The sequence below is a fragment of the Homo sapiens genome, chromosome 8, assembly GCF_000001405.40.
Source record: "Homo sapiens chromosome 8, GRCh38.p14 Primary Assembly".
Classification (NCBI taxonomy): domain Eukaryota; kingdom Metazoa; phylum Chordata; class Mammalia; order Primates; family Hominidae; genus Homo; species Homo sapiens.
The window spans coordinates 118,492,554-118,510,783 of NC_000008.11; the positions used below are offsets into that span (position 1 = coordinate 118,492,554).

The 18,230-nt window shown below is 39.5% G+C and overlaps 1 protein-coding gene across 12 annotated transcripts in view, besides 2 other annotated features; it reads right to left on the bottom strand.

The window, feature by feature from the left end:
• Positions 1 to 18,230, bottom strand: part of SAMD12 (sterile alpha motif domain containing 12) — a 490,139-nt gene that overhangs the window by 360,729 nt on the left and 111,180 nt on the right. The gene's annotated exons all lie outside the window — the stretch shown is intronic.
• Positions 12,990 to 13,079: a silencer, noted in NCBI's record as "silent region_19480". NCBI's record gives its function as "represses an Ori minimal core promoter by ATAC-STARR-seq in GM12878 lymphoblastoid cells {active_cell/tissue: GM12878}" and the evidence as "EXISTENCE:reporter gene assay evidence [ECO:0000049][PMID:35858748]".
• Positions 16,868 to 16,917: an enhancer, noted in NCBI's record as "active region_27837". NCBI's record gives its function as "activates an Ori minimal core promoter by ATAC-STARR-seq in GM12878 lymphoblastoid cells {active_cell/tissue: GM12878}" and the evidence as "EXISTENCE:reporter gene assay evidence [ECO:0000049][PMID:35858748]".

The window sequence follows — 18,230 nt, forward strand, 5'->3', positions numbered from 1 at the left end:
ATGCTCTCTCTGCTGTTTCACATCTACTCATAGATGACTAATACTTTTTGTATATCTCTTCAGCTATGTCACTTGTATTATTACAGTGGGCCCAGTATATCCCCCAGTTATTTAAGAAGAGAAACATATTTCTTTCTTACCTAACAAAAGCATGTAAAATGATACTGGACATAAAGAGGGAACTTGAAAAATATTCTGAATTAACCTATTCTGGCAAGCTCTTCAGAGCCTAGTATGTTCAAATTACGATATATAAACCATATATGAAAGCTAATATTCTACTGTTTTAAGTACTTATAAAAATTACTTCCCTTAATGTATTAAAAGCCAGAAAAAGTGATGTGTGTCAAGCATTATCATACCTTAAAATCTCCAATCAAAGATACTACACCAAAATGCAATTTACTGGAGAAGGCATCTCTGCTACATACCCAGTATATCAAGTATTAGCCTACAACAGAGAAAAGAAAAATATGAAACAGAGGACATGAATAACCAGCTGGATGGCCTAAAACCAGTGATTTGTTAGAAGTCAATACAATTAATGTTGTACTTGCATGAATATTTATGCTGACACCAAAACAGTTCAGAAAACATTATTTTAAGCCAAAAATAAAGAACATTTTCTTCCCAGCTGACCATATGAAAAACTTCAGGGTCACCCTTGAATTCTCCCTCTTCTTCATCCACTTATCCAGTTAATTGCCAAGTGCCATATGTGCTAAATTTCTCCCAAGTCTATTACTCCTACTGCATACTGCCTTATTCAGACCTCATCAGCTCTCACCAGCACAAAACTCTAAACATTCTTTCCTTTCACTGGCCTACTTTTGCTTCTGCTCATTTCTCATGATTCTGTTAAATAAAGCCCAGGTCCTCATAAATTAAAGGAAGCTCATCGTCTGCCTCTACCTCTCCTTATAGCTGTGATAGGCAGAATAACAGTCTCTCAAAAATATCCATGTTCTATCCCTTAAAATCTATGAATGTGTTGCCTTCCAGAGCAATAAGGACTTTGCAAATGTGATCAAGGTGGAGGGATGATTATCCTGGATTATCTGTGCATGTCCAATGTGATTGTAGCTGGACCAGATCATTCTGGTTCATCTCTTACATAACAAAATTGTGAATTGCTTTCAGTTGCCACAGACCCACAAGTTGAAGGTCACATAACCTGAACATGCCCAGATGAACCAGGTGTGCAACCTTGGGTGGAACACTCAGACCAAGGAGGAAGGACTGAAATAGGAGGTGGACACCACATGGCAGGATCCAGGATCTAATCAGACTGAACCCTGGCATCACCCGATGGCAGGAACCAGTCAGATCATGCCTCACTATCCTATGCCTATAATAAAACCAACCCTAGCCTTCAGCTCAAGGAGAAAGATTTGAGTATTTTCTCCTGTCTCCTTGCCAACTACTCACAATAAAGCTTTTCTCTTCTCGAAAGCTGGTGCCATGGTATTGTATTAGCCTCTATGTGTATTGGGCAGTGAGCTCACTGATTGCCTGGTAACATGAGCACCAGGGTCCTTATAAGAAGGAGACAGGAGCATCAGAGCAGGAGAGATCTGAAGATGCCATGTTGCTGGCTCTGAAGATGTGGAAGGGGCCGCAAGCCAAATAACAGAAGTGTCCTTCAGCAGCTGGAAGAGACAAAGCAGTCAATTTTTTCTCCAGAGCCTCTAGAAGGAATGTAGCCTCCTCAACTCCTTGATTTTAGTCTATAAGACCATTTTGGACTTCTGATGTCTATAACTACAGGATATAAATTTGTGTTTTTATCCACTATGTGTGTGGCAATTTGTTAGAGCAGCAACAGGAAAATATATACAACAGCTTCACCTGTCTTCACTTTGCAAACACCAGCAGTAGTTATGTGCTAAATGTGTCATGCATTTCATGAAATTACATTACATGCTGTTATATGTTTGGAATATAGAGTCCATAAGGGCATTCCCTACTGTCTTCACTGAAATATGTACTAAAAAATATTTGCTGAATTAATCAATGAAGGACATCGTGCCTCTGTACATAGCGCTCCCTCAGTCCCAAACACCTTCCTCTTATTCACCTGGTTAATTACTACTTATTACTGATTAATCATTAAATGTCTTGATTCTTCCTAGTTTCTCAAGGAGTTAGTCAGTCCTTCTGTTGTGCTTCCCCAACACCCTTCATCTCCTTATCTTTTAATTCTTTGTGTACTTGTCTATCTATTCTACACATTTGTGAGGACAAAAACCATTTTCTTCCTCTGAGTGCTCAGCATAGTGTCCCACACAAAGCATAGTATAATAAAAATCTGATGAATGAATGCCTTCCATCTACCCCAAATAATGTCTGGTGAAAACAGGGGTTACCCAGTTCTGAATCTGTCACCTGTGTCATCATAAGCAAGTTTCATAAACTTCCCTAAGCTCACCTTCCCTATCTACAGGCTGGGGATATGAAAGTCTGTATATTATGGAGTACTTACAAGAATCACATGAAAAAGTGCCCATAAAGTGCATGACACAAGTGTGTGACATACAGTAAGTTTTCAGGAAAGGTTAGTTGCCATCACTATTTTCACTAGTGGAAGGTGTTAAAGAATGTAGGGTGAGCTTAGGCAGTAACGTATGAAACTGGAAGAGAAGCAATTGTGTCAACTGAAGTCATCAGATTGTCATGGGACATATGCCCCTGTCAAAATAGGACTGACTTGAATCTTGGACATTAAGCAAGCCACAGCACATGAGTCTCAGAAGCCCAAATTCCAAAGCTTTGGGGAAGTATGACATCATGGCATTCACTTTCTCTCCCAGTCTAAAAAACAGTTCCAAATATATTGACCCTGTCAAACATCTCTTTTCTTCCAAGTTCAGCTGAGTGTGATTTTTACATAATCACTTCAGCTAATAAATAAATATGTATGTGATGACTAGTTGAAAACTGGCTAACTAATGCATTTTGATACTACAGGAAGATAATTAATCTTCACTTAATTCATGTAGGCTTTTTTTTTTTTTACCTTATCTCTTTAATTTGTCTAATTTTTGGTTAAGAGAATGGGAACCTTGATCCCGCTGCCTGGATGAACTCCACGGTTACTGACTGATACTTCCCAAAGTCACAGTTTCCTCAACTGTAAAATGTGGATAATAATAGCACTTACCCCTTAGGGTTTTAGTAAGGATTAAATGAGATAATATATAGAGAGAATTTAGGAAAGTGCCTGCCACATTTAGGTGCTCATTAAATGTTGGCTAATGTGTTACTAATATTAATCTTTTTGAAATTATGTTTTGAAATAATACAATTTATAATATCAAGGCCATCTACTTGGGGTTTAAGAGTATAGAATTCTGTTTGTAAGAATCACAAGTATTTAAGACCCAAATCAAGATCGCAATCCCACTCACAACGGTCATTAAAACAATAAAATACTTAGGAATATAGCTAACCAGGAAGATCAAAGATCTCTATAATAAGAATGACAAAACACTGCTGAAAGAAATCAGAGACAACACAAACAAATGGAAAAACATTCCATGCTCATGGATAGGAATAATCTATATATTAAAATGGCCATACTGCCCAAGGCAATTTATGGATTCAATGATATTCCTATCAAACTACCAATGTCATTTTTCACAGAATTAGAAAAAATATTCTAAACTTCATATGGAACAAAATAATAACCCATAATGGCCTAAGTAGATAAAGCAATCCTGAGCAAAAAGAACAAAGCTGAAGGCATCACACTACCTGACTTCAAACTATACTACAAGGCTACAGAAATCAAAATAGCATGGTACTGGCATAAAAACAGACACAGAGACCAATGGAACATGTTAGCGAACCCAGAAATAAAGCTGCATACCTGCAACCATCTAATCTTCGACAAAGTCAACAATAACAAGCAATGGAGAAAGGACTCCCTATTCAATAAATGGTGCTGGGGTAAATGGATAGCCATATACCAAAGATTGAAACTGGAACACTTTCTTTCACCACATACAAAAATCAACTCAAGATAGAGTAAAAGCATAAATATAAAACCTCAAACTATAAAAACCCTAGAAGAAAACCTAGAAAACACCATTCTGGACATAGGCCTTGGCAAAGATTTCATGACAAAGTCTCCAAAAGCAATTGCAACAAAAACAAAAACAGACAAGTGGGACCTAATTAAAGATCTTCTGCACAGCAGAAGAAACAATCAACAGAGCAAACAGAAAACCTACAGAATGGGAGAAAATGCTGCAAACTACGCATCTGACAGAAGTGTCATATCCAGAGTTTATAAGGAACTTAAGCAAATTTACAAGCCAAAAAAAAACCCAAATGACCCCATTAAAAAAATGGGCAGAGGACATGAACACACACTTCTCAAAAGAAGATATACATAGCCAACAAGCATATGAAAAAATGTTCAACACCACTAATCATTAAAGAAATGTAAATCAAAACAATGAGATACCAACTCACACTAGTCAGAATGGCTATTACTAAAAAGTCAAAAAATAACAGATGTTGGCGACATTGCAGAGAAAAGGGAACACTTACACACTGCTGGTGGGAATGTAAATTAGTTCAGCCACTGTAGAAAGCAATCTGGAGATTTCTGAAAGAACTTATAAACAGAACTACCATTGGACCCAGCAATCCCATTGTTGGGTGTGTATCCAAAAGAATATAAATCATTCTACCAAAAATACACATGCACCTATATGTGCATCACAGCACTATTCACAATAGCAAAGACAAGGAATCAACCTAGATGCCAATCAACGGTGGACTGGATAAAGAAAATGTGGTACATACACATCATAGAATACTATGCAGCCATAAAAAATGAAATAATGTTCTTTGCAGTAACATGAATGCAGCTTCAGGTCATTAACCTAAGCGAATTAATGCAGGAATAGAAAACCAAATGCCTCATGTTCTCACTTATAAGTGGGAGCTAAACGTTGAGTACACATGGATACAAAGATTGGAATAATAGACACCAGGGCCGACTTGACAGGGGAGTGTGGGAGGAGGGGGAGGTTACCTATAGGGCACTATGCTCACTACCTGGGTAACAAAGTCATTTGTACACCAAACCCCAGCGACACAAAATTTACCAATGTAACATACCTGCACATGTACCCCTGGAATCTAAAATAACTTAAGTTGCGGGGGGGGGTGGGGGGAAAGAAAAAAAAAAAAGAACAGCATTTGAGAACATTTATTTACTTTTTTTAAAAAAGATGCCATTTTGAGGATGAATACACTTGATCAGGGATTTAGAAGTTTTCAGACATGTAAAAATGGCTAAACTGAATGTAACAAATCTAGTAAGAAATGCTAATGAAATCTGAGATGTCAGAGGAGACATCAATTAAACTTAAAAACCAAAATGAAATTTTCAAAGGCAGAAACAGATGGAGAATATGAAAGAAAGGAAGAAAGTCAGGAAGTGGAAAGAATGAAACAACACAGGACTAATTAAACAGAAGAACAGGAAGCAGATAATTAACGAACTGAAACAAGGCAAGGCATGTGTTATATCAGGATATGCTATGTAGACATAGACATCATTCTTAGGCCCAGCTGGCTTCTGATTCCAGCTGAGACAAATTTACCTTCACTTTTAAAGACGGTGTTTTGCAACCCATTTAATCTTTTCAATGACCGCCAAGTCACAGGAACAGTCTCAGCTTAAGGGTCCTGTTTATACAACGAGATGCTGTTCCCTTGAAGACAGGTCCATTATTATGGTATAAAAAATATAGAGAAGAATGAGATTGTGTTTGCAATGAAATATAAAATAAGAAAGTTAATATACACGAATATATTTTATTTAAGATCTGCTTGTTGGCATGTTATGCCTGTAGCATTTACTACCTCGCAACACTGCTAGAGGTATGTGGATAGCTCCAGGCATATCACCAAATCAGAATGCGAAATCACTGCTCTGAATTTCTAATAATGTCACGACTGCACCCCTTTCTTCTTCCTCTAAAATCTATGACGCTAGCTGTTTAATAATAATGCAGATATACTTTACCCAAACTAAATTCCTGGAAAAGGTCAGTGTTCACACCTAGAATTTTCATGGCTTATGGTGTATAGCACAGAAAATATGAAAATTAATAGAAATGATTACAAAAAATGATATTGCCAAGATATATCTTGATGGAAAGAATACACAGAGTTCACATTAAAATAAAAGTATATGTTTACTCATTCACCCAACAAATACCTACATGGCACCTATTAGGTGTGACATATATCATAGAAATGGTAGATAGACCTAGAGGACAGTCAAAACACAGAACCTTTCCTCAGACAGTATAGTGTCTTGTGCTATGAAGTATTTTCCATATATGCTTTATCTCCCCACCAAGTTCACTTTACACCCCCTGCACTCTCCAGTGAATACATGCTGGCTTATCTAGATGGAAATTTGATGGAGGCTATTATCTGTCAGAATAGGCTAGGTTCTGCTGCAGTAATGAACAACCCCCACATCTGTACGACTTAACACAAGTTTACTTCCTGCTGACACTACATGTCCAGTATAGAGGCTCAATTTATCATAGTCACTTGAGGACTTAGACTGCCAGAGGCTCATCCTAACATGGGCTTCCATAATGAACACAAATAGAGAAAGGGGGTACTTGGTCTCAAATTGGTAATTGACTGCTCCAGCCTGAGTGTGACACACATCATATCTCATTTGCCAGAACCACCCAACCAGACTGAACAGAAAGTTCAGTCTTCTACAGGCACAGAGGGAGAGAAGGAGCAAATATTGTTACCTAGAGCTAATGATTACAACAGTGACTTACTGTAAAGAATAAGAGGAAGTGAAAAAATTGTGGCAAGGACAATTAACCTGACCTATTTCCAGCTCCAAGACTTATTAGCCACATGTCCACAACGTCATGTAACCTCCTCAAGCCAAAGTTACATGGTAATAATACCTCTCCTGCCTATCTCAGAGAGTGGATCTGCAGCTTCAGTGAAGCAGATATTATTCAATACTGTTTTACATTTCTAGAACATATGTAGGCTTTCAGAATAGTTTCATATGTCTATGTGTTCAAGGAGAACACAGTCAGCCAGGGCTAGAGAAAAAATGTGGAAAACTGGAGGCTGCTAAAAAGTCAGTGTGGATAAAGCACAAATAATTTATAAATCTTGGCCATAGACTCCAAGATTACCAAGTTGAAGGCCAAGAGCTTCAAGGATCTCTTCCCTTGAGTAATGAAAAAAATTAAAGATGCTCACTTCCCCAACTTCTTAGTCCTCAAGAGAATCAACAGAGTTGTCAGGGGTAGCCAACATCTACAGAAGACTGTCCTTAATATGGCTTCATGGTCCTCTATGCCGGCACAACAAAGTGCCCTTTTATGCCATCTTTAACCACATGCCTCTTCTCTTCCCACATCAGAGTAGACAGTGATCTGTACGGTCCCCCCACATACATGAAGATGTTGATCTGCTCCCCAGGATACACGCCCCTGAGTTTTGCCTTTTTTTTTTTTTTTTTTTTTTTTTGAGACAGCAGAGTTTCACTCTTGTTGCCCAGGCTGGAGGGCAATGGCGCGATCTTGGCTCACTGCAACCTCTGCCTCCCGGGTTCAAGTGATTCTCCTGCCTCAGCCTCCCGAGTAGCTGGGATTACAGGCATGCGCCACTACACCCAGCTCATTTTGTATTTTTAGTAGAGACGGGGTTTCTCCATGTTGGTCAGGCTTGCCTCAAACTCCTGACCTAAGGTAATCCACCCGCCTTGGCCTCCCAAAGTGCTGGGATTATAGGCGTGAGCCACTGCGCCCGGCATGCACTTGTTCTTGAATCTCCTCTTCCATCTTTTCTTTCCACATCAGTTGTTCTCAAATGTGATTAGAACCATGCCTAGGACATAGAGACATGGGTTCCTTTCTGTGAAGCCATTCTTGATTCTTTTAATCAAAATCAGTTGTTCCTGCCAGGCGCAGTGGCTCACGCCTGTAATCCCAGCACTTTGGAAGGCTGAGACAGGCAGATTACCTGAGGTCAGGAGTTCAAGGCCAGCCCGGTTACCATATTGAAACACCGTCTCTACTAAAAATACAAAAATTAGCTGGGCGTGGTGGCAGGTGCCTGTAGTCCCAGCTTCTCAGGAAGCTGAGGTAGAAGAATCGCTTGAACCCAGGAGGCAGAGATTGCAGTGAGCTGAGATTGCACCACTGCACTCCAGCCTGGGCGACAGAGGGAAACTCTGTCTTAAATAAATAAATAATCAATTGTTCCTTCATCTATGATCAGAATACAATTATTTTACCTTATATTTATATGTATTTAGTTCTTGCTTGGATTAGAGTTGTTGACATTCTGGTCTCCTCTAGTACATTACAGGGTGTAAGAGGACAGAGGATCTGGGTACTCACCTCGTTGTCCAGCAATGCCTGGCATGGTGGTCTGTGTGGAACAGCCACCCGGTAGATGTGGAATGGGGGGAATGCCTCTCTAGTCACTTTTTTCTGTCATTTCCATTTTCTCTTGTCTTCATATGGCCCCTGACTAGGACTGGGTGTTTGCAAGCCAATCTAGCATGAGCTGTTCTATTCAGTGTGAACCTTCCCTTTACCTATTCTCTCTTCATCCAAGCTTTAGAAACTGTCAGTTTTATATCCCAATGTCTTGTTTTATTCTCTCAATGTCTTGCTTTCCACAAAACTAGATGTTCATAACAATTGCCTGGGAAGCCTTCTAAAATATATATAAACTCGGATAGATTTTATTTGTTCTTACCACAGGAAATAAGTCTGTGATGTAATACATATGTTAATTAGCTTGATTTAGCCATTCCACAATGTGTATATATTTCAAAACATCATACTGTATACCACATATATATACAAATTTTGTCAACTAAAAAATAAATAATTAAAAAAATTTTTAAAATGTCTCATCTCCAAGAGACCTGTTACATCATTTTGTGGATGTGGCCTGGCAATCTCTCCAGCTTGGACATCAGCCCTCTGAGTGGCATTTGGAAAGCACCTTCACCATATGTGACCACATATGATGATGGGTTAGTCCCGTAGACTGCAAGTATATTAGCAGAGACTTCTATTGTTTACTGCCGAGCAGTGCTTCTCAAACTTTAATATGCATACAGATTACCTGAGATCCTGTTAAAATGCAGATTCTGGGCCGGGCGCGGTGGCTCATGCCTGTAATCCCAGCACTTTGGGAAGCCAAGGCAGGCGGATGACGAGGTCAGGAGATCGAGACCATCCTGGCTAACACGGTGAAACCCTGTCTCTACTAAAAATACAAAAATATTAGCCGGGCGTGGTGGCAGGCGCCTGTAGTCCCAGCTACTCGGGAGGCTGAGGCAGGAGAATGGCACGAACCCGTTGGGGGGCGGAGCTTGCAGTGAGCGGAGATTGCGCCACTGCACTCAAGCCTGGGCAACAGAGCGAGACTCCGTCTCAAAAAAAAAAAAAAAAAAAAAGATGCAGATTCTGATTCAGCAGGGCTAGGGTGGGGGCCAAGCTTGTATATTTCTAACAAGCTTCCAAACTGCTGGTGTACAGACCTCACTTTCTGTAGTAAGATTACATTTTTAACTGTTTGTTAGTGTATTTATTAGGAGACTATTTTAAAACTATATCTTCCAGGGACTCTATTATAACAGAGAGAAGCAATCTTTTAGGTTCAATATATAAATAGAAATTTGAACTTGTAACATCTTTTTATTATTAAAACCAATCAATTCATAAGATCAGTGAGACTGTTTTGATGAATACGAAATTTGAAATCATGGGTTATGTTAGACAAATGCATATTATTAGCATTACTAGTTTATTTCTGCATGTTGTTTCCCTGATGAATGTCCTAATTCACATAGACAAAAAAAAATCATTTACAATTATTTGCCAGCCTGTCTTACAATCTTAGGTTAGGTGTTAATGAAATAGAAATGACAGGAAAATCTTTTTTCTAATAACTGTGTAAAAGTCAGGGCAAGTTAAAGCACTAATAGTCTCCAGTGGATACAAACCTGGAATATATTGAAGAGCACATTTTCATTACATTTTTCAATGAATAAAAATGTAAAATTAAATTCAAAGCAAACATCTGTTGAACTCCTCAGCCACCGCTATAATTTTGAAGAAAACATCTTGAAACCACACCTTGATCCTAATAAGTAGATTTTGCAGGCTTTTGCAGCACTGAATTATGGCCTATGCAGAGAACGATTTTGAAAATGGGAGGAATGGCTAAGTGTAGCAAGGTTCTCTCAAACGATAAAATGAGAATAGTACCTTTGCCCAATTCTCTATGGCAGGCCAAGTACCTAGGCTTAGCTTCCAGGAAATTTCAGGATAAGGATTTCTCCCCCCTTATGGAAGTTCACGCCAAAACAATACATTTGCCAGAAAAAGCCACTAATGTGACAAGCACTATAAATAACCATGCAGAGCAAAGAATGTCTGTGTGTGTGAGGCAGAGATATTAGACACATCAAGGTAACCATTTTTTATGTTCAATGGTTGATTCTGCTTCAGTATTAAAGAGCTTGGTGGCTTTTAATGATGAAAAAATTATGCGAACATTAAAAAACAATTTTATATAATTATTTGGAGTTCACAAACAGCAATTTAAAATAAATCCATTAATGCCGTCTGTAGGGCTTTCTTGCAAGTGAAAGGAAATGTATCATGCACTGCAGTTTGGTGTAATACTAGAAAATGAGCTCTCCTACCAGTAGTGCATTATGAAGAGAAATTAAGAAACTTAAGTGATTATTTCTGGGGCTGGGAATCGGTCTTTAATAGGGCAGGTCCTTTAATGGAAAGGCATTAGAGTCATCCATTCACTTAACAAACATTCACGAAGAGTTGAACAGTGCTCAGGGATCCCTTTTCACGGGTAAGAGCACTTCTAAGGTTCATCCCGCCAAGCCCTTCTGACCCTCTAGAAAACTTCAAATGAGGCTGAAATGCATCCTGAAAGCATAAAGAATCCACAGATAGGTGGCCACTTGTTTCAGGATTACGCTGCCTTTCATCCTTTCTAAGGAAATTGAGAAAGTGTTTTGAGGCTAAACCTTGGTGAGAAACCAAGCGCCACCTGGAGTCAGGAGAAGGGATTACAACTCTGCCTCCATCTCCCTCCTTGGGCTCTTCCTCCATCTCGCATTTTCTCTGTCAATCCTCTGTTAGAACCACCACCTCTTTTTCTGCCCAGGCGAAATCCAGTTAAAATAAACACTCAAAGCAGAACTAAAAGAAAAATTAATCCCATCACAAAACGGTTGCAGAGGTGATTTTGTAGAGTCTGAGGGGCACAACAACACTCATTTTACAAATCAGCCATATTGAGTAGGGGTCATACCTCAAACCTGCTTATTTAACCTCTTTTTGGGGTATCTCAAAGGCTAAATTTTGTAATAGTTTTGTAGATTAACCGCCCCCTAGTAATAGCCTGTGTCACATGACTTCCTTGCCCTATTCCTATTTCCTGCTTTGTTTAAATCAGGAATCCCCTATTCCCTTACTCTTCCCTCTTTTCCTGTCAGCATATTATGAAATTCATATTCACTATCACCTATATCCTGAAACCACAGTTGAGTGGGAAGAAAAGGCCAACACCTACAAACCACTTTTGCACTACTTTCTTCAGCCCACAGCAACACATCCAACTCCTCTCTGTGACTTCCTCTCCTAGACCAGGCATCATAAAGAAGCCCGGAGAAAAACAACACAGTAATAATGGATAGATTCTCTTTAATAAATACATAAAGTGCAAGGTCCATCTAATCCTCAAAACAAGCCAATAAGGGCCTGCCACAAGTCAAGGAGACCCAGCTGTCAATCATTCTCTCACAGATGGTGAGACAGTCTGGGGTATGTGTCTTTGACTTGCTATTTCTAAAAGGTTGGGGGTGACCTGGCAAAACTCAATGCTTAGCAGAGGATGTAGTGGGTTGAGAAGTGGCCCCCAAAAGTTATGCCCATGTCTTAATCCCTGTAGCCTGCAAGTGTGCCTTTACTTAGAAAAAGTGTCTTTGCTGATACAATGAAGTCAAAGACCTTCAGATGATGAGACCATCCCGGATTGTCCTGGTGGGCCCCAAATCCAATGACAAGTGTCTCTATGGGAGAAAGACATAGAGAGGTTTGAGACAGACTAAGGAAGAGAAAACACAAACATATAGAAGAGAAGACAAAGTGAAGACAGAGCAGAGACACATGGCCATAAGCCAAGGAAGGCCAACAGCTGCTGGAACTAGAAGAGGCAAGGGACAGATTCTCCCCTAGAGCCTCCAGAGACAGCATAGCCCTAGAAGGTCCAGCCACAAGCACAGCAGGCCTGGCTGTTAATCATTCTCTTACAGCTGGTGTGACTGGGGGATGTGGCTTTGACTTGCTATTTCTAAAAGTTTTAGGATGATCTGGCCAGACATTGACTTTGGACTTCTGGCCTCCAGAACTGTGAGGTAATTCATTTCTGTTGCTTTAAGCTACCCAATTTGTGATAACTTGATAAGGTAGGCACAGAAAACTTATACAAAGGCATACATGTGCTTCCTCTTTCTGTTTCTGGTTCCAACTTCTTCTGTATCTGGCACTAGTTGGAATAAGATGGCATCACGATGGAATCTGAGATTGGGTTTTCGTAAGCAAGAGCACAGGCTCAGTAAGTCTCAGGGCTGACTTTGTTCTGCTGTTATTCAGACTTAACTCACATTGGGAATTGGTGCTGCTGGCTTCTTTAGTATCTATTGTCTCCTTTCTTATGGGCAGAGCTCTTTTTTTTTTTTTTTTTCAGGGCAGTATCATGGAAACTACACATCCCAGGCTCCTTTGCAACTAGCCATATGATTAAGTTCTGGTCTGAGAGACTGAAGTGAAGTTGTTAGGTTGGCTTCTATGAAAACCGTTTGGAAAGCAGGCAGACTCTTCTGAAAGTCACCTTTGGCTCTTGGGTCTCACCCCTCTCTTCTGACTTGACATGCAAATATGATGAGTCGAACTGAAACCATGGGAATGTAAAAGCCACATGCTAAGGAAGGCAGAGGAGAAAGACAGAAGGAGCCTGTGACACTGAAGATACTGTACATTTGTGAGTCAGTCACGCATTACATACTCTGGGCTTCATATCTCGTAAGACGTTTAAGCCACTGTTTAATTGGGTTTTCTGTAACTATACCCGATGTAATTCTAATATGTCCACCAGCTTAGAAAAGCAGAATGCTTTTTGTGAATTCACTTAATTACTAGAACTCTCCACATCAGGATTTGTGGGGAAGCCACAACCAAAAGTGATGCATTACTATGCCTCCCATTTTCTAGTTGCTAAAATATCTTCCTCAGGCCCCAGAACAGAATTTGGATATTCCTTGGTGCCCTGGACATAATATCATCCATTATCATCCCAGTCTGATTATCATCCCTACAATGAACCTTTTAGTAAAAGTTAGCTCTCTTGCTTATTGCTCTAGTCTCTAACAGAACTTAGTACCCATACCTGCAGTCACATTCATTGTCTCGGTTAATTGCTAACAGAACACTGGTCCCTATACACTAGCAGTATGGATCAGGAGGCACTGACATGAAAGAGACCAGGCTCCAGCTTTGAAGGTCAGCAGCCTGTTTTTCCTAAACTCCTAACTCCTTATCTACTTTTGGTTATATCTACCTGCTAACCAATGGTTTTGCATTGTTATCTTTAGTTTTTGATATCTTATTTATGAAACCTAATAACTTAATCACTTTCCTATGCTTGAGTACTTAAGAGCTTAGAACTCCTACCTGGCTCTGGTCCCTAGTAAGTAAAACATCTCATGAATTCTAATTTGGGTAAAACTATGAGCCATTTTGAAGGAGCCCATTCCCTTCTGACAGTCTCTGTCTTGCAAGTATTGGTGCTAATTCCCAATTTTCCACGGGGAGAAGGGAAACTGGGATAGATTGATCTTCCTACTATGTCAACAGTGTTTATGAGAACTAGAAAAAGTTACACAACCTTTTAGTCTGAGTTTATCAAACCATAAATGGATTAAAAAAAGTACCTAGTAAATGACTTGAGGCATGAAGAGTCATGTGTATTTGATACCATGACCAGCGTTGGCTGACAGGCACTAGAGTCACATTCCACTGTTAGTTTTCTAGGCTGACACTATTTACAAAATAATCAGCCACAGCCAATTTAGAACATGTTAGCTTTTAACTTAGCCTCAAACATAATGGCTTCTCATACTAGATGATTACATTGGTGTGGTGGAAAGTGTGACTGGCTGGGTGATGGAGAAGTCCACAGCTGATCAGGAACCTTCAACCACTGGATCACTGGCACATACTGTCTGCCATCATGAAGCTGTCTGGCAGTAGTACTGTCACTCATGGGAGGGTATGGTGGTCATAAATAAACAGGTTATGCACCCTTCCAAATTAGTAGAGTGAAAATCTATTTTCCATGGCTTAGAGACCAAACTTTGGAACATAAGACATTCTGTGTCTTACATAATCAGTCTAGCTACAACCAACTTCATTTTTCCCGGTCTTGGCTTATGTCACTGCATTCCATGAATTCTACAACGCAGTCACACTGAGCACCTCATTGATACCTTGTGCCTTCCCATCTTTCCAGTTCTGCTTGTACAATTTCCTCCACCTAGAAAGTCTCCCCGACTTGTTTAAATATTACTCATTTTATTCAAAGCTCAGGTGAAATGACACAGCCTCCTCTGCGTTAGAGTGATCTCTCCCTCCTCTGAACTTTACCATGTATTAAATTATAATCACCTGTATATATGTCCCATATTAATTACTAGATTAGAAACTCCTTGTAAGTTTAACACGACAATATCTACCACAAAGCCCAATTGAGGGTTTATGATGTACCGAGCCTGATACCAAGCATGGTATGACCTCATCTCACTCCCTATTATTCTTATTTTGTACATGGAAAAAACCCCTGAGGCTCAGAAAGGCTAGGTAATTTGTTCAAGATCTCAGACTTAATTGGGATTCAAATGCTGAACTATGATATCAATAATAATTAAAGTTAATTGTATATTAGCTGTAGTATAGAGACCTAGACCCCAAAACAAGTGAAAAACAACCTAAACTTATGAAAGTAGTACAACTGATCCTTGAGTCAAACTGCTCCATTTATATGCAGATTTGTTTTCAACCCAACACAGGTGAAAAACACAGTATTTGAGGGATGTGAAACCTGTGGCTATGAAGAGTGATGCCGACTTTTTCTATACATGGGTTCTGCACAGATGACTGCAAGGCTTGAGTATGTGTGGGTTTTAGTACACACAGGGCTCCTGGAACCAATCCCCAGTACCCTGAGGGAGGGTGGTACTCTTTAAGGCCAGATATTATTTGTTTCAAAGGGAAGGTGATGACTGTTTGGTTGAGCAAACCCCTAGATAGTATAATCTCCTTTTTTTTTTTTTTTTTTTTGAGACAGGGTCTCGCTCTGTCAACCATGCTGGGGTGCAGTGGTGCCATCATAGCTCACTGCAGCCTTGAACTCCTGGGATCAAGGGATCTTCCTGCCTCAGCCTCATGAGTAGCTGGGACTACAGGTGTGAGCCACTGTGCCGGGCTCCCTTTTCTTAAAGGTGGGAATTGAACGATGAGAACACTTGGACACAGGATGGGGAACATCATACACCAGGGCCTGTCGTGGGGTCGGGGGAGGGATAGCATTAGGAGATATACCTAATGTAAATGACAAGTTAATGGGTGCAGCACATCAACATGGCACATGTATACATATGTAACACAACTGCACGTTGTGCACATGTACCCTAGAGCTTAAAGTATAAGAAAAAAATAGAGAAAAAAAAGTAATGAGTCAAAAGACTAAAGCAGCCTTTTCTCACAAGTTTCTTTTTTGTTTTGTTTCTTTTTTGGTCATCTAGGAAGTGACCATTTTCACAACTAATAATAAGCCTTAAGTTGTTAATGTCATTTCAAATTACCCATGATTTCTCCATGTCTGAGAAGATAAAGACACCTTCGTGTCATTTTACAGTCTCACCTCCATGTCACTTGCATAACTGCTGCTTCTTTGTATTAATTTTTCTTAGTTTGAGCAGCAGAGGGGGTGCTTATTTCCATTATCATCAAATATGGGGAGTTTTGGGCACACAGCAAGAGCTGAATCAACATGCACTGTCTTTTATTTTCAACCGAATTCCCATGAGCAGTCAAAAGGGTAGGCGGAGTATGACAGAGGTGGAGATATGAAAAGGATGAATGCGTTTTCTCAACACTGATTTTATCCTTTAACTTTGAACATAATTCCAGGCCTAGGCAACACTAAAAATGGAACTTTAATGTTACAACATGATTGAGAGTCTGGTATCATACTGAAGTGATGGGTCAAATTTCTCACAAAATTTGCTCTATAATAACATTTCATATTCTTAATAACACTCTAGTCTAAATATTGACAGTCATTTGCCACTTGGGAGGCAAGAGGATGATAAAAAATATACCAAGAATATTAGCCTTCTTCCCTTAAGGTTCAGTAATTGCCTGGTAAAAGAAATGTATCACTTTCTTGGGTGATCCTGAGTTGATCATTCTGAAGAGGCAAAAAGATCATGTGTCTAGTCAAATGTGTGTCTGTGTGTGTGTTTATATCCCATAAGTGCCAAATAATTACATTAAAGCCTTAAAAGTTCTTATGTGAATGGATGTGGCCAACTCTCCAAAATTTAATATTATTTAACTTTCAAGGTCTGACTCACAGCCAAAAGAGTTGCCACATCTAAGTTGATTAAACTCACAGGCCAGACAAGGTACAGGTGGGCCAGGAAACTGGGGCGGGCCTGACTGGCTGGCAGCAGAAATGCAACAAAATAGCTTGAGGGTTTCATAAACCACTTCCCCGAGAAACAGAAATTATATGTGTCTTCATGAAACAGGCTTTGACTCTGTGGGCAGGAATGAACACATCCACACATGTTCTGTTTCTGAAATGGTTCTACTTCTGAAGTGTAGATGTATATGATTTGCTAAAATCCTGGACACTACTTCCCTAAAACTCAAAATGTAGCATCACACACATAATACCCCTTGCTTCATTCCTTTTGTATGGTGGAGTCTAGATTATGATTAGTTTATTATTTTTCAATGAAAATTTTACATCATTAAGAGCTTTAAGTTGTCTCAACATTTACACATAATTTAAGTGTTTATTTGATTTTTGTCCTTCACATGTGTCCTAAATATCCAACACTGACTATTGTCTTAGATTATAAATGTTGATGGAAGGGTGATGTCTGTGTAATAAAGCATGATTGTACTCTAAAGCATAACATTGTAATTGTTAACGTACAACAGATTTTAATAATAGTAAAGAATATTGCTATTGCTATTTAAATACAATATTGAGGGTGAGAGTTATCTGTGCACACTTTTGATATTTAAAGATGATAATATTGAGGGTGAAAGTTATCTGTGCACACTAGAGTAGTTCAGACTCACATACACTCTCTTTCCTTTTTGTACCCCCTCACTTTAATGGAAAAGCCACTTTTCCAAATGTGTGCTAGGCTAATACTTTAGAATCATCAGTAATCTTTTAAAACAGTTGTTCTCAAATTTACATTACAAAAAAATCTCTGAGAAGCTTGGTGATCAACCCCCCCACCACACACACACACATACACACAAACACGCACACATGCATGCACACACACACACACAAATACACACACAATCTGCCTAAGTAGGCTCAGTGTAGGGTCCAGGAACCTTCACTGACAAGCATCTCAAGTGATTCTGATACAGATCACACTCTGAGAAACAAGGAGGTATTTCATTTAATTGTTCGGGACCACAATAATTTTTAAAAACAGAAAGGGAACTACACATGTTTTATAGAGGTTTCTTTTGTAATGTCCCATTACTGTCCATGAAGTAGGTTTATAATTTCATTTACATAACTCAATCTTGAACTTTGAGAAAAGGGTTTGGCAACACAATTCCAGGAGGAGCCACTCATATCATCAATCAAGTGAAGGCAACACCCTCCCCCAGGGTTATGCAGTGTAAACTTGGCATGGTCACAGTCAGTGAGCAAAGGGGGCATCATCTGTTGGAGAGTGGCACCTGTTGGTCAGATTTAGGTATTACAGCCTGGCTCTACTAGGAACCCAATGCCCAGTACCTCTCTACCCCCTCAAAATGCTGGGGCAAAAGAGTACTATTTATTAGTTA